This window comes from Homo sapiens, chromosome 1 (genome assembly GCF_000001405.40).
Source record: "Homo sapiens chromosome 1, GRCh38.p14 Primary Assembly".
NCBI classification, from domain to species: Eukaryota; Metazoa; Chordata; class Mammalia; order Primates; family Hominidae; genus Homo; species Homo sapiens.
Genome location: NC_000001.11, coordinates 61,374,580 through 61,392,207, shown reverse-complemented (window position 1 = coordinate 61,392,207; position 17,628 = coordinate 61,374,580). Strand labels below are relative to the sequence as shown.

The window sequence follows — 17,628 nt, the reverse complement described above, 5'->3', positions numbered from 1 at the left end:
TTTTCTTTAGTGTCCTGCAACTTCAAATCCCATCCACAACGCTGCCCATTAGGCTAGGCACTGGCACTTGAACTAACCCTGAACGAGGCTCACAAGCCCTCTTGCTTCTCTGTTCCATGCTCCTTAAAGGTGGTACTTGTTAGGTCTATGAGGCCTGCATTTGAAAATCAATTCTGGCAATTCTTCTTGGAGAAAGGCAACGTAATGTTTGCTCAAGTGACATACTCCAATAATAAATAAACACCGTGCGTCTGTTGGCAGATTATTTCAGTGCCTTGTTAGCAACAGGTACCTAATTGCTTCTCATTTTCCTGAGATGATTCAATTGCACTAAACCAGGAGAGACAAATTAGATTCAGTGGATCACCAGCATGTTCTCCAACTAAGTTAAAAGCTTTCCTAAGAGGCAAAGAAGTTTGTGGATGTGATAGGAGAAAGATGAACAAACCTAGCACTTGGGGGCCTAGGCCAGGGGAGGGGGTGCCACAATTACAGTAGTAGTGAAACGCCAGGGGACGTTCTTTCTGGAGGGACCTTAGTTTGGAGAGAAAAACTTAAAATGCCACAGGAAATATTCTACAAATAGGGGACCAAATAATTTTGAGCTCATTTCTCTTAAGGTCTATCAAGGTAGATCTTAATTAAAACCAAACATATATTAGGCTGGGCATGGTGGCACACGCCTGCCAGAATCAAGGCAATTTTACTTCTAAACTGCCTGTGTGTGTGTGTGTGTGTGTGTGTGTGTGTGTGTGTGTGTGTGTGTGTGTGTTTGATTCATAAAGAAGTGGGGTTTAACCTTGTGTTCGCATTTTGTATGTCTTAAATCCTCAGTACTTAGTTATCTAAGGGCATAACTTATTTGCTGTTGTAATCCCAGCACTTTGGAAGGTTGAAGCAGGAGGATTGCTTGAGCCAGGAGTTCGAGACCAGCCTAGGTAACACAGTGAGACCCTGTCTCTACAAAAAAATTTTAAAAATTAGCTAGGCATAGTGGCATGCGCCTGTAGTCCCAGCCACTTGGAATGCTGAGGCAGGAGGATCCCTTGAGCCTAGGAGGTCGAGGCTGCAGTGAGCTGTGATCAAGTCACTGCACTCCAGCCTGGGTGTCAGAGAGAGAGACCCTGTCTCAAAACAAACAAACAAACAAACAAACAAACAAATAAACAAACAAATCAAATATATACTGAGCACTTAAACATGCCATGCCTCTTTCTACGTGCTGCTGAATATATGCATTTGAATATTATACTACTACACAGTGGAGAAGGAAAGAACTTCCTATTATTCTCAAACTTTCTGTTTCTTCAATCAAATCCATGCATTCATTCATTCATTTATTTGACAATTATTTATTGAGTGCTTTCCTTATGCCGGGCACAAGGCGGAGGGATTCAGAGATAAATGATAAAGGTGTGGTCCTTGCCCTAATAGGCCCTGCCATCTAGTGATGACTGTCACCCTCCTATTTTACCTCTCCTTCCCCGCTCCTCTATTATTGTCTATGCCTATTATGAATCCACACTCCTCTAACCTTTCTTGGTGACCCCAACTTCCTGAAAGGTGATCTTAATTCTCATAATTCTCTGCAGTATATTTTTCTTGGCCAAACTGGGAGATATTGTTAACTTCAGACCTTCAGATGTTTCATCACTGAGAGCAAGATCCCTATTTGGGCCAGGAGGATCATGGACTTAGAGAGGTTTATAGAGCATATAAACTTCTGACTACCTCTCCAAACAGAAACTGGAATGATTCTTTGAAAGCTGCACAATAAATCTTTGGTTTATATGGTGATTGCTTTAGTGTATCTTAGGCGTATTTTCAGAATCCAGGCAATTTTACTTCTAAACTCCCATCGTGTATTTTTTTTTTTGACTCATAAAGAGGTGGGGGTTTAACCTCATGTTTGCATTTCGTATGTCTGAATTCTTTGGTACTTAGTTATCTAAGAGCATGATTTATTTGCTGTTGTTCTGTTTTCCATGCCCATAATGCGAAGGCAAACTGTTTGACAATAGCGGTTGGGTCTCCTGTGTGTCTGGACTTGCGTAGTGCCAGATGCCACTGTAGTTGTCCACAAGGATGTCCTTCCCCTCATTTTCTACCGCACCCTGTGCTTCTAGCACAGCAGTGCAACTGCTGGTTTCCTTGTCCTCTCGTCCTCCAGGAGGCAAGCACTCAAAGGACAGAATCCATGCTTCTCTTGTTCACTCTACTACTAGAGCATCTTGTACACTGTAAGAGCCTGATAAATATTTGTGGAAAAAAATTAATGGGTCCCCAGATAGTAATAGGTATCTGCAAACTAATACAATATTGAAAAAAGCCAAACTGACCTCAAAAACTGTCTCTAAAGTGGCGTGCACCTAAGAGAAACCACAAATTTACCAGTAGCAAGGACTTATGGACTAATAAAAAAGGCTAAGTGATTTGTTTATGGCTGCTATTAAAAAAAAAAAACTCAGTGTGATGGCACAGGTTATATTATGATTATCAAAAGATCTAGATGGATATGTTATGACTTTGACTCATAAAAAATGTGAAAACAAAGTAATTGTTTAAATAAATGCAGTTAATTTCTCCCAGTCGGGGGAGAAAAAGGTAGAAACTACTGATATGGCAAAAAAGGCACTGAACTAGAGACTTGATTTCTGGTCTTGGTTCTGGCTAGCTCAGATTTCTCATCTGTAAAAATAATGGGGAATATGTTGCTAACTGTCAACCAGCATATTTATCCCTTATTTACCCACTGATAAAAGCTTAATTTTATAGAGAGTGGCCATATGCTCAGCTAAAAATTTGGAGTTTCCAGCCTCCCTTGCAGCTACAGGTGATCATGGGACACAGTCTGATTGTGCTGCAGAAGATCCTATGAAAAAGTGGCAGGATAAGCTGACAGGTCCTTTTTGCCTTCACCTTTTCCCTTCTTTCTGCTTGGCATGCAGACATAAGGCAGGGGGCAGCGCCCATGCTGTGACCTCATAAAAACAACCCACTGAAACATGTCTAGGAGAAGAAATCTCAATCCCTGATGGCACTGCAAGTGCCACCCTATCAGCCTTGAATCACATACTTGCTTTTTTTTGTTGTTGTTGTTTTGAGACAGGGTCTTTCTCTGTTGCTCAGGCTGGAGTGCCGTCATAGCTCACTGCAGCCTCAAATTCCTGGGCTCAAGCAATCCTCCCACCTCAGCCTCCCGAGTATCTAGGACCACAGGTCTCTACCACTATGCTCTCCTAATTTTAAAAAGTTTTTGTAGAGATAGGGTCTTGCTGTGTTGCTCAGGCTGGTCTCAAACCCCTGGCCTCAAGTGCTTCCTGCCTCAGCCTCCTGAAGTGCTGGGATTACAAGTGTGAGTCACCATACCTAGCCACATACTTGTTTTTGTATGAGAAAAATGTGACTCCTTATTTTCTTAAGCCATTGTTCAGTCAGATATTCTGTTACTTTCAGCCAAAAACAATCTTCACTGATACTGGGAACACATTATACCAAAAGATTCCCAGACCATAACTCTTTCAATTACTTTCAATTGTGCTGCCCAATGTGGATCGTGTAGGCTGCTCTCTGTTCCTAAATCTCTAAGGCACAGAATTGTTTTACTTAGTGCAGAGTATTTAAATAAAGTATCATTCACTATCTTCTTAATCTTCAAAACAGCAAAGATTTTAAGCAAAAAGATAAGTTTCAAGAAGATCTAAACCTTCAAGAAACTTTAAGATGTAACTGATGATTACTCTAAATAATTCTCTAACAAGTTAGACCCTTCAGATCATCAACCAGGCAAACTTACAATTCTTGAAAAGGCAAAGGGATGAAGAAAGATTTCTTTTTTCAATTATCATGAATAAGACAAATAGTCATGAGTAAATACTTTACTATGGTTACAATTTTAAGTAGTGGTAAAAGAAAGTCTTTGAAAGCTCAATCTTTCAGCTTAAAGTGCACAGTAATTATACTAACGTATAACGATGTACAAATGCCTCTACTGAAATTTAATATCTTCCCCCTATCGATAGGATATTCCCAAATAACCTCTTTACCTAATTCTAACCACACAGAGAAACAGGTGGTAAAGTATTGTCCCCATGGTACAGATGGCCAAACTGAGGCGACAAGGTTAAGTGATTTATCAAAGCCATAAAGAAAGCCACTATCAGAGAGGGGATTCATTTTAAGAAACCACATGTCTCTACCTTTACACTATAAATAGGGAAGTGGTTAGAACAACATAAAGAAAGCCCATAGCTCTTAATAGCAAAGCTCTACTTAGAGAATCTTGCATAGGTTTTCTTTGGATGCAACGCCATGGTTCTTCCATGTCTTGGACATTTCTTACAAGGAAGTACTGCATGAACTATCACACATTTATCTGAAGAAATGAAAACTCATCAGGGTCAGAGAGGGGATAAATGTCTCCTGTGTGCATTTATATGCAATTTGACTACTTTTATTCATTCAACCAATATTTGAGCATAAAACCCACTGTGTGAGGCACAACAAAGATAGTGAAATGTCTAAGTTAGAGATCCTTCCCTTTGGAGGTTCTCCTCCAGGAGACATGTAGATTAACTAACAAGGCCAGATGAGGTTGGTGGAGTCAATGTGCAGACATGAAAGGCAGCAGGAGCTTAAGCAGTGTGAGATGATGGCAAGCTGGGTGGAGGAGAGGAGGTTTCACTTTGAAAGTACTGCTTGACGAGACTCCGTCTCAAAAAAAAAAAAAAAAAAAAAAAGAAAGTGCTTGAGCTGATCTGGGGGATGGGCAGAATGTTGCTGGGCGAAGGCAATAGGGACAGCATGATACTTTCAAAGCCTGGGTGAAAAAGGATTATTTAATTGTATGACCCACGTGCATACTGTACTTCCAGGCACTGTGCAAATGACTACAAATACATTATTTCCTTTGCTCCTAACATAATACAATTCTTTTGAGTTAGAGATGATAATCTCTAACTTAGAGATGAGAAACCTTTGGTTCAGAGAGAAAAGCAATGTGCCAAGTAGTGGACAGAGATTCAGACACCAGCCTATCTGACCCCCTGAGATTTTGTGCTTAACCACTGCTATAGGCTGAATGTCTGTGGCCCTCTAGGATCCATATCTTGAAATCCTAACCCCCAATGTGATGGTAATAGGTAGCAGGGCCTTTGGGAGGTGATTAGGTCACAGGGTGGGGCCCTCATGAATAGGATTAGTGCTTTTAAGAAAGAGACACTAGAGAGCGACCCCACCCCTTCTGCCATGTGAGGACACAGCAAGAAGATGCCATCTATGAACCAGGAAGTGGGCCCTCACCAGACACAGAAGCTGCCAGAGCCTTAATCTTGGACTTCCAGCCTCTAGAACTGTGAGCAATACATTTCTGTTGTTTATAGACCACCCAGTCTATGGTGTTCTGTTCTGGCAGTCAAAACAGACAAGGACAACCGCTGTGCTACGCTACCTCCCTTCAACGCCCTGTGTTTCTCCCTTTGCTTTGCAATCTTAAGAGAGAGATTTTCTTTGTAAAAGGTGGCTGTGAAATTTCCAAATGTAGCTTATGTTTGCAGCCAAAAGTAAGGCCCTTGTGTTTTTAGTGAGGTGACCTTGATTTGCTGTAGCTCTGTAAAATCTCATCTCCATTCTGAGCGTGGATGTGTGTTGGACAGTTATTGCTTACTAACTGGTGCTAGTCTAGTTGAAGCATTCCCGTGATAAATGCTAGGGAAGGCAGCAGAAGCCTCACAACCTAGTGCTAACCAGAGAGCAGTCAATGGCCTCCGTGATCCCTGCCCCATGCCCTGGGGACCTGATAAAGGACATTCTTTTCTTTTCTTCAAGATCCTTTTAAAGTTTGATTCTCTGGATTATCTAATAATTTACTATTTTGGGTTGTGGCAACTTTGCCCAATACAAGGAGTGTCAGAGGTTGAAATCTCCTTTATGCGCACATGTGACATCGATTCCACACTGACTCTTGCAGCTATACTCTTCCTCCTCAATTTTGGCCTCATCTTCCTAAAACACCACGTCTTACTCCCAAATGTGGTATCATTCCAAGCATTAGCTTTCCAACTAGTTCAGAGAGAAATGAAGGAAATTACAGTACCCACAGCAAATAAATAATGAGGCTGAATTCCAACCTTTTAAAAATGTCTTAGCCAGAAAAATGTCTTACGTTAGCCTATCTCAATTCTTATGATTCTTACCACAAAGAGGCAACTGAAGTTTCATCTCAACTACTCCAATTCCCTTCACCAGACCACTAAGCGGGGTGGGACACGGTAAGAACGGGTACCTGAGTAGACTTTCCAGAAAGGAGAGCCGAGGATGCTGGGAGCCATCTTGAATTCTGGTGAAAACAAAGAATCTTTGGTATTCCATAATTCTTACACTAGGCATCTTTCTCTTTTCCTCAAACACAGTTTTATGAATGAATATGAATAGATTGCAACTTGTTATGCTGTGAGCTAAGGAGGTCCACTCTGGTTCAACCCAGCGTGGGTCATTTTAGAAAATGTGCTTAGTCATCTAGCATGAACAAGCTCTCAACCTGTACCCATAGGGAAGTGCCCATGACAGTAATTTCTAGAACTACAGTTTTAAGGCAAGACACACATTAGACACTCTTAATATTTACTGACTAATGATAATATATACAGATTGCATTATGCTCTTCATGGAATCTCCACAAATACTGTTTTATTGTTGTTTCTGTATAAGAATACAAGATTGGGAGGAAATGGTCATTATTAGTATTGTACCCACTATATTGATGAGGACATTAAAAAACCCAGAAGGTGAGTGGGAAGGAAAAGAGGGAGCCTACCCAGCTCTCCTGATTGCTGGCATACTGTTCTTCTCAGTTCTTACTAACTTACTACACCACAAATCTTTCCTTTGCTTAGGATGGCCCTCCATTTATCTAAGCATCTTTTAAGATTTGACTTCAATGTTATTTATACTTTGAAGTCTCTTTTTTTTTTGAGATGGAGTCTTGCTCTGTTGCCCAGGCTGGAGTGCAGTGGCACCATCTTGGCTCACTGCAGCCTCTGCCTCCTGGGTTCAAGTGATTCTCCTGCCTCAGCCTCACAGGTAGCTGGGATTTACAGGCATGTGCCACCACACCTGGCTAATTTTTTTTTGTATTTTTAGTAGAGATGGGGTTTCACCATGTTGGCCAGGCTGATCTTGAATTCCTGAGCTCAAGTGATCTGCCCGCCTTGGCCTCAGAAAGTGCTAGGATTACAGGCGTGAGCCACTGTGCCCGGCCCATCATCTTTTACTTGCTTATTTCCTTGTGTGCCTCTCTTCTGCAGTAGATAACATGCTCTATGAGGACAGGAACCACTGGTCCCAGTGTCTATAGAGGCACTCAGTAAATCCTTGTTTAAAGAGTGAATGAACCTCCACGGTCCCCCCAATACTGAGCTCCTGCAGGAACTTTTACCATTCAGTTAGCATTTAGAATATGTTAACTTGACCCCAAACAGATGAAAAACAACACATGCCTCATCTCCTTCAGGCCATAAATATTCTGACTAAAAGGGCTTCATATCTCTGATCCCCCACTACAGTTTATATGCTCAATGAGTGTTAACTATGAGGATAATATCTTAATACTATTTAATAAGCCTCATTCTGGGACCTTATAATCTAATTCTGATGCAGGTTTTCAAATTATATATCGATAGTAAGCCTCTCTGATTATACCACACATAATACACAAATGAAAGAAGGGATCTTGAGAAAGTTCTACCAATGATCACAAGATGTTTAAAGATGAAACAAGTAAGTTTCATTCCCACAGTGGTCAAAATGCTTACTTTCTTCAATATGACTCCCATGTGTGCACCGGACAGCCCTCTTACCTGCCACATTTCCCTGAGATGCACACAGAGCACATTCATAAAGGGATTCAGATTGGTGGGGCTAACATTGAGATTAATGCAAGAAACATCAGTTTCCCCAGGTATATGTCAAAGCAGACAAGAGATCATAATTTTCTAGGATGTTTTATGAAACCAGCTGGTAGGTCACAGACCTACCTAAAAGAAAATCTGATAAAGGAAAGCAAACATGGCTACAATTATTCATACTTCTACTGTGGGAGTTTCATAAACAAAATAATAAATATTTTTATCTTGCAATAAGATCAAGTTAAGTGATTTGCTGACATTCTCTTGAGGCTTAAGGCTTGTCTTTAATGCGAAATACAAATCATATTTCTCGTGGACACATTTTAATAATAAACTTAAAAGCATATGAGACAAAAATAATGAAAACATTGCAATGAAAACCAGACAAACTATCTACCACTTCAAAAGGAGTGAATGAAGACTGCTCGTCAACACCCTGATGCAAACAACCTCAACACAAAATGCCACATATTGAAATCAGGTTTTATGGAAAGAGAGTCAGCAGGGATGAGAAAAAGCTACTACTTGAAAACAGGTAATTGACCACATGGAAATATACTCACCCAATGCATGCATGTGTGCACGCGCATGTGCGCACACACACACACATTCTGTCTCTCTCTCTCACACACACACACACACAACTTGTAGAACAGATTTGATTTTGGTTCAATTCAAGTTACTTCCCATCTTTCTGCAAAAATCTCACTGGCCAACAAAAAACAGATTTGGTCTCTTTTTGCCTTAGGAAAGGACAAAAAATGTGATGCCAAATCTCTTTGGTCTCTAAAATTCCAAGGCTGCCCCCAAGGGTAAGAAATTGGAACACTCACTGCCTCACGAGTGTTCAGGGGGAGTCCTCATTGTTTCTCATTTTGCTACTTGGGTCCAAAGGCCATGATATAAGCACAACCAAGGGTGCCTGTGGAGCAGCTCACCTCTGGGTCCTGTAATGACAGGTCGGTGATGCTGTGTGAACGCCGTTCCCAGGGAGGAGGTCTGTGAAGGGGAGGGGCTGCTGAAACCAGACTTCTCCGACTTCTTCAGTGTGGTTGGAGATGGCATTCCTGGCAAGAAGGATCAACTGGTAAGTACACTTTAATTCATGGAACAATGATTTGTGCAACCTAAAAGATAACATTTAAAGAATTAAAAACAAACAAAAAGAGAAATCCACCTGTGAATGAAAAAGATGTTGTGAATTGCTTTGCATTTGTCACAGAAACAAAGAGGTGACAGAATAGTCCCCTGATAAGTCGGTCTGTATTTGATTTCAATTTATTCTAATTAATCACAGTCCATTTTTGGGTTATTGGTCTTCAATAATAATACAGGGTTCAACTTTTCCAGTGTTTCCTAAAAGTTGCTGCTTGTGTCTGTGACCTCTGTGACTCCCAAAAAGGAAACCATGTATGCTTATGAAGACTTCACATGCAATCGTTTCATCTTGTTGGTTACCTTGCTTTGACACCAAATCACTTTCTCCATATTTTAAATAATTTGGCTGTTTTAACATAAGAATACCCTCAACAATGGCAACTTAGTTGTTCATTCAATGAATTCTTTAGAATAGAAAAAAAGAAAAAAGAAAAGTAAAAAAATCTTAAATGCCCTACAATTGGGGACTGGTTAAATAAGTATGGTATAACCAATGTAAGCAATACTGTAAAAGAGTAATGATGTGGCAAAACATTTATAATATAATGTTAATTGAAAAAGGCAATTACAAAATAGGATGTTATACTATGACACCATTGAAAAGGCTATTTCTATGCACAGAGAAAGAACTGGAAGGCAATATGCATAAACTATAATGGTAGTTCTCTCTCTGTATTGAATTTGGGTGATTTTCATTGCCTTTGTTTTGCTTACCTGTCTTTTCTATGATGAACATATATTGCTTTCATGTTAATACAATAAAAGCTTGTTTTTAAAAATAGTACTTTTATTATTGTGTCTAAAGTTTTCACAGCATTTCCAGCATAGAAAATGCTTTGGGAAGAAAATAATGGAGAAACAGTTCCTTGTAATTACTGGATTTGTAATGTTCTCGGCAACCACGCTGACATACCCAACTGGAGGCATCTATCAGTTTGATAGGGTGCCAATTAAAACAATGAAAATTTGGATATAAAAATAAAAGAAATGACTCCTAGTCTCCGCATCAGGGGACAAATTTGGGCTCTCTTAAGGTTGTAGCACAAAACTGGTCTGCACTGATGTTAAAAGAACCAAATTCCATTTTACTTATACATGTTTACATGTGCTGTGTTCTGCCCATGACCAGAGAATTATTTGGATGAACTGGAAAAGTAATAAAAATCATAATGATATTAACATGTAACTGTTATGGAGTACCATGTACTGTGCCAAGCACTTTATAGGTATAGATCTTTCCAGAAATTTAGCTAGTTTTGCGTGTATCTAAATATGTCCCTGTTATTTCTGATCACAGATTTCCTTAATGCAATTCTACAACATGACCTTTGAGTGTGACTCAGACTGTATAAGGACAGAGTCCTTGTCTGCTTTGTTCCCCTCTATGTCCAAGACCTCCAAGGGTCTGAAACACCCAAATGGTCTGAAAAGATATTTAAACTACTTGTGCAGGTCTCAGCTTTATCTGTAGCTTCATGAATAGATGCTTAAACATAGCAAAGCTTAGAATTTTCACCCCAAGAAAGAAAAATTGAAAATTGGTAAACACATTTGCATAGTCAGATATAAGTACAACATAGAGTGGTATGTGATTTCATACTAATTTGACAATTTGAATCAGATCCTTTCTAGATCAACATCCATGTGATTTGAATTAAAAATGAAGTAATTAAGTGACTTTAGTTATATTTGTTGCTTGCTGAATCAGTAACCAGTCACACCATACCAAAGTTCTAATGTAGGATGCACTGAGATTTTGGGTGAACATTCACTGTAAGATAACCTAACCTAAGGTTATCATCATGTAATTCCACTAAGGAGGAGATTTCAAATAAAAAAAATGAAAGAAATAAAAAGCTAGCAAAATGTAAACAAATCTCCCAACTCATTTAAACCTTTTTGTGTAGACCAATTTATAGGCTGCCAACCATTCCACTGATTTAAATTTAGTCCAATGCCTGAACTACATGTCATAAAACAGAAGCAGAACAGATAATTAAAACAAAAATCAAAACTTTAAAGGTGGCAGATTTTTTTTTTTTTTTCAGATAATGGAATCACTGATGAAATCCAGTATCCTAACTAATCTTATTGATGATAGCAAATGGCTGGACTCAAGAAAAAGTTATGATTTCTTTGAAAAATTCATGTTTTCTAATTCATGCCATTCTAAATACTGCAGAAATATTGACATGATTGAAATCCACTATTTATGCTTCTAAAAGGAATTACAAGTAAAATTTGGGCAATAACAAGTATCAAGAATGACCAAGTTGGTAAACAAGTTCAAAAATAGCAAAATTTAAATCTTCTTTGCAAGGGTTAAAGACGGAAGAAATACCGTCAGCATGCAGGAACAACCAGCCAAACTATGTATAATCTTCTAAATTTATCACAGTCAAGTAATATGAACCCTAAGGCTGTCATGAATCTCAAAATTACTTTGTGTTTTCAATTTTTAAAGAGTTCGTATTGAGCACATTTCCTTATTATATACTTTAATATTTTCTCTACATACATAATGTATGTTTTGGTTAATTTGTTTTGTATATTTAATTGACCAGATGAAATTCCAAAATGCTAGTAAACTGCTTTCTGTTAAAAGCTAGAAAACATTAATGTTGGCTTTTATTTTTGAAATCAAATTTGGTTCTGTACATTACTTTAAAAATAAACTCCTTTTTAAAATCTCTTTTGCCAATTATTTATGCACAACTGTTACAAAATTACTGTATGGATTAATGACTGATTGGCTTTCTTTCAATGCATTAAAACTTTAATTTCAATGTATTTTCTAGAAGTACCAGATTTTTAAAAAAAGACTACGGATGAAGTAATCCTACTCTTTTTCTGGAGGAAATGAAATGTTACTTCAAAGTTCAATGCAGAAAAATAAAGACTTTTGTAGAATGAGAAGCAGAAATCTAGCATAATGTTTTGTTTCAATGGGGCATTTCATCCTTTTGATTGGTATAAAAAAACCCAATGAGAGTAAATAGAATTGGAGAAACATGTCAAGAAGGCCTGTGGCTTGTCACTGGTTTTCTAAACATCCAGAATTTTTGAATTTTCAATTTCCCTCTAGTCTGCCATTTTTTTCTAAGCTATATGAGTCATTCCAAATTGTGTTCAGTAGACAAGGGCAAACATATATGGGATTCTAGTCATGTAGTGGCTTTCATCTCTGGAGGCACTTATAAGTGCAAAGTTCAACAAGAAAACCTTGAAAATACAGGTCAAATGCACTATTCACAAAGATTCCTTCAAATTCATCATTGGTATTTGTGGTAGTCAGGCTGGGCTGGTGGCTCATGTCTATAATCTCAGCACTGTGGGAGGCTGAGACAGGAGGATTGCTTCAGGCCAGGAGTTCGAGAGCAGCCTGGACAATATAGTGAGACCTTATCTCTACAAAAAATTAATTTTTAAAAGTTAGCTGAGGCCAGGCACGGTGGCTCATGCCTGTAATCCCAGCACTTTGGGAGGCTGAGGTGGGCAGATCACAAGGTCAAGAGATCGAGACCATCCTGGCCAACATGGTGAAACCGCATCTCTACTAAAAATACAAAACTTAGCTGGGCATGGTGACATGTGCCTGTAGTCCCAGCTACTCAGGACGTGGAGGCAGGAGGATTGCTTGAACCTGGGAGGCGGAGGTTGCAGTCAGCCCAGATCATGCTACTGCACTCCAGCCTACTGACAGAGCAAGATTCCATCTCAAAAAAAAAAAAAAAAAAAAAAAAGAAAAAGAAAAAGTTAGCTGAGTGTGGTGGTATATGCCTACAGTCCCAGCTACTCAGAAGGCTGAGGCAGGAGGATCACATGAACCCAGGAGTTTATAAGCTATCATCATACCACTGCACTCCAGCCTGGGCAACAGAGAGAGACCTTATCTTGAAAAAAAAATTGTGGTACTCAGAATTCTAAGATGGCTTCCTAGTTTCCAGCCTTGTATAATGATGCCTTATATAATCCTCTCCTCTTGCATGTGTGAGATACTTGTGAATATGATAAATGTCATTCTTGTGAATAGGTTATATTATACCGCAAAGGTGATTATATTGATTAGGTTATGTTATATTGCAAAAGACTTCTACAGATATAATTAAGGTCCCCAATCAGGTGAGTTTGAGTTAAGGAAAAATATATTATCCCTGGAGGGCCTGACCTAATCAGGGGAGCCTTGTATAAAAGGAATTAGAAGTCAGAGAGATTCTTCTTCAGGCTTTGAAGAAGTCAGCTGCCATATTGTGAAAGGGCCTGTGACAGCCACATGGTAAGGAACTGCAGGGGCCTCTGGGAGCTGAGTGGGGCCCCTTGCTGACAGCTTTCAGAAAGCAGGGACCTTAGTCCCACATCCACAAGCAACTGAATTCTGCCAACAATCACGAGAGTCAGCAACAGGCCCTTGAGCTCCAGAAAGAAATGGAGTCTGAACAAAATTCTCATTGCAGCCTTGTATGACCTAAGCAGAAGATCTAGTTCAGCCGTGGCCAGGCTCCAGACCCATGGAAACTGTGAGATAATATTAATAACTGTGTGTTGCTTCAAGTTGCTAACTCTGTGAAAATTTGTTCTGCAGTACAGAAAACAAACATGATATTCAAATATAAGACGACTGCAATGCTAGACATGTGTGTATTAAAGATGTTTACTGTACAATAATTACTCTCTATAATTCTGAAAGTTTCCCTTATTTTTACCTAATCCACCCTAGGTTGTATAGTCTTTCACTAGCCTAGTCACCTAGAGAAAACGGTAAGACGTATTCTTAGAAAGGGAACTAAAAAGTGGTAATTTTCGAGGGACATAAATACTTTTGAAAATTTCTACTTCTCCTGATTCTTTCGAGAAACATCAATAACAAAATTAGATTGAGTGACGTGGGAAAAAAACTCAAATTCTTGGGGTCTCCCCTAAGAAGTTAAAATTTGTTTTAGGGAATTTTTCACTGCAATTTGATATCACATAAAATAAAAAGAAGAAAACCAATCATAATTAATTTCACCTCTCCCCTACTCCCAAGTTATGATATTTTTCAGACACTTTGACCAAGAACTCCATAGTGACAATAGTAAAGGAAACACTGCAGGAATCATTAGGAAGTACAAAGCTGTTTTTTCTTCCTTAGGTATCTTCTTAAAGGGGAGATTTTTAGGAGTCAAAGGAGCTACAACATTAATGGGAATGGAAGAGAAGGGAAGGATCACCATAAACTATAATTATTCCAGTGACAACCGAACAACATGCTGGATTTTTCAAAAGGAACTGTAACTTCTCAGTGTTAGTGCTTACTTTGTTAGAGCACCTATCCAAAAATTCATTCTCCTGTTAAAAGTATCCCTGGTAAGTGCTGCTCGGGACAGCAGGACCTTATCTTGTCTGTCGCAGGAGTTTGGGAGATGTAATTCAAGTTGTCAGAGAAGATATAACTGGTGTATGTTCTTTTCTTCAAAGTGACAAAGTCAAGAATAGAAAGTTTAGTTTCAATAATGTTCATTTATAGTCACAAACGGAGAGAAACTCTGAAAGCAAGCAACCTCAGCACTTTAGTTTTTAAATCCAATACAATAAGCAGGTTAGAGAGGACCCCAAAATGTTACAAGTTTAATTGTTCATGACTTGGATAGTGTCCTGTTCATTGTCATCATCTAATTCCCAACAACCTATTTTTATAACTGTTATTACCAGAACAACGATTACACCAAACTTAAAGGCTTAAAGGCAACTGGAAGCCTTCATCCATCAAGTGGCCTCAAGAGAGGCAGGAGGCAGCTACAGAGATTAAATCTCTGCATGTCGATCACGTCCAAAAACCAGGCTGAAAATAATAAAAGCTACAAATTATGAAGTGCCCACTATGTGCCATGTACTTATAAATATCTCAAATCCTTACATTTTCTTCTCTTTCTTTCTTTTTTTTGAGATGGAGTCTCGGTCTGTTACCCAGGCTGGAGTGCAGTGGTGCAATCTTGGCTCACTGCAACCTCTGCCTCCCTGGTTCAAGCAATTCTCCTGCCTCAGCCTCCTGAGTAGCTGGGTCTACAGGCACATGCCACCATACCCGGCTAATTTTTGTATTTTTTTTTTTAGTAGATACAGGGTTTCACCATGTTGGCCAAGCTGGTCTCGAACTCCAGACCTCAGGTGATCCACCCACCTTGGCCTCCCAAAGTGCTGGGATTACAGGCATAAGCCACCGTGTCCATCCCCAAATCCTTACATTTTCATCTGAGATAGGTAGGTATTATTATCTTTTCTACCAATAACTTAATATTACAGAAATTAGATATCAAGTGATGTTAAACAATTTGTCTAGGATCATACAGCTATTAGATGGTACTGCAGATCCAGGTCTCTCTGGTTCTCAAGTGCATACATTTTATAAAACCCTCATGTAGTTTCCCTAGTATACTATAAAAACAGTGTCCTATTTAAGTCAATAAAGTATATTTATAGCTGAAGTTTTAAATTTGGTTATCCAAAGGGGGAAAAAAAGGAAGGGTATATCAGATACAAAAGTGTATGCAAAAAAACCCACTCTGAAGTATACTAGGAATCATTTGTCTTATATATCAAAGTTTTCTCTTGGCCTTAGTAAGGATCAGTTAAGATTTTATCAAACACACACTGAATGAATTATCAGCGATTCTAACACAGAACCTCCACAAAATAAATATCACATAGATTTAGAAGAAGATAATGACCCCAGATGTTGAGTTGCAAAAGAGTATATAAATGTTTTATATTTACTATAGGCCTCTTGCCTATTCAACAAGTTGCTTTTTCTATAAAGCCTCCTGCAAACCATGTTATCTATCTATAACAAGAAAGGACAAAAATTCTTCTCTTAAGACTTGTTGATAGTGTCCAAGCCTAGACTATATATTACAATGCAGTAATAAATAGCTCACTTAACCAGAGGCTATAACACACACACAATTATTTAGAATTCAGTAATGTGTAAAAATCAAGGAAGGCCCCCGAGTGTCTAAAGTCAGCATCTAAACAGGCAACTAAGTTGAGGCATTTAACTCATTGGAGAGTATATCTTTATAGAAACTAAGAAGTGTTTCAAGGAGAAGGCTGCAATCAACTGAGTTGAATGCCACTGAGAGATCACGTATAATGAGGACAGAAAAGGGTCCACTGGATTTGGCAACATGAATGTTTCTGACAGTCTTGAAAAGTGAGTTCCAGGAGAGTGAGGCACATAGAAGACAGGATAGCATGGTTTATAAAATCAATGGGAAGTGAAGAAACAGGGGAAATGGTGTAGTCAACTTCCATGAAACGAAGGAGGAATCTGCACAGGAGAGCAGAAAAATAGGGTAGTGGCTACAGGAAGAGGGAGGGAAGCAAGGGATAGCTTTCTGAAGGTGGGAGAGAGTCCAGCATGCTTGTCTACTGATGGGAATGGTCCAGCAGACAGGCAGAAAGCCATGACTCAGAGAAGAGAGGGTGCCTGAGGCAGTGCAGTCCTTAAGAAGGTGAGAGGCTACACAATCAGTGAGTGGAGGAGCCAGGATTTGAACCCAGGAAACCAAAGCTCTTGCTCCTTTCAGTGTACCATGCTACCAAGATCCCTACTTCTGGGTGAGGGCGCGGGGGAGTACTACTTATGTATCTTATCAATACAAACCTATCATGAGCTGATTTAAATCTGAACTATTAATGACACTTGAACATGTTTCTTCTTGCAAACATTCCAAGTCTTAATGATGCTAACTGCTTTGTGACTCTTTTTTACACTCAGGCATTCAGATTCCCCTACTCCACTAGATCTAAGTGTGGGGAACAGACAGCTCAGTCATGTCCATCAGACTAATGGTGTCCACATAAATTTCAGTGACATTTCTCAAGCCCAGCATGAATGCTGAGTACCAGTACCATCTTTTGCAAGTCATCCACCATCAGATTTACACTCAGACACATCTCTTCCAGATGCAGAGCTATACTGCACTCTAGTAATTCCCCCACAGGCAGGAACAAGACCTTTCTAGAACCATTTAAAGTATACCTTGTAATTAGATTATCTCTAACCATGATGCCAAATAAAGGCTGTGACTGAACAGAAGAATCCCACGGTTAAGGGACCATTCTGTTCTTGTGAGCATAAACACAGGCTGCGTGATACAAGGAGGTCGTTGAAGACACCACACGTTTGTTAGATGTGTGTCCTAATGATAAAATCCATTAGAGTTCATTCTAATATAATTTTTTATGATTAGCACACTCAACGATAAAAAGGTAAAATAGACTATTTTGACTTTTAGCCTTTTTCAGTCAATAAAAATGTTTTAAAATCATTTTTATGATAGAGAGCATAAATGAAAGTTAATATAGCTTCTGAGGTTTATCCTTCTTACTCTATATGTAGCCATTGAAAATGAGCTAAAAGGACTCCCAAAGAATTATCACATCATAAAGAAGTTCAGGTAATTTAAATGGCTTGGGGACATCAGTGATTTCTTCAGTTTTTAAAAAATGGGAGTATGGAGTAAAAATTACATGGATTATTCAGGGGGAAAGAAACGATGAGTTCTGTAATATATTCCAAATGTTC

The 17,628-nt window shown here is 39.0% G+C and overlaps 1 protein-coding gene across 4 annotated transcripts in view, besides 1 other annotated feature; it reads right to left on the bottom strand.

Moving 5' to 3' along the window:
- The window catches only part of NFIA (nuclear factor I A), a 385,562-nt gene that overhangs the window by 70,581 nt on the left and 297,353 nt on the right, over positions 1-17,628 (bottom strand). For all 4 annotated transcript variants that reach the window (NM_001145511.2, NM_001145512.2, NM_001134673.4 and 1 more), the window contains one exon: positions 8,843-8,971. In NM_001145511.2, coding sequence (NP_001138983.1) covers positions 8,843-8,971 — 129 coding nt within the window. The remainder of the gene's footprint in view (positions 1-8,842; positions 8,972-17,628) is intronic.
- Positions 2,844-3,044: a silencer, noted in NCBI's record as "peak261 fragment used in MPRA reporter construct". NCBI's record gives its function as "represses an SCP1 promoter by STARR-seq MPRAs in K562 erythroleukemia cells {active_cell/tissue: K562}" and the evidence as "EXISTENCE:reporter gene assay evidence [ECO:0000049][PMID:32103011]".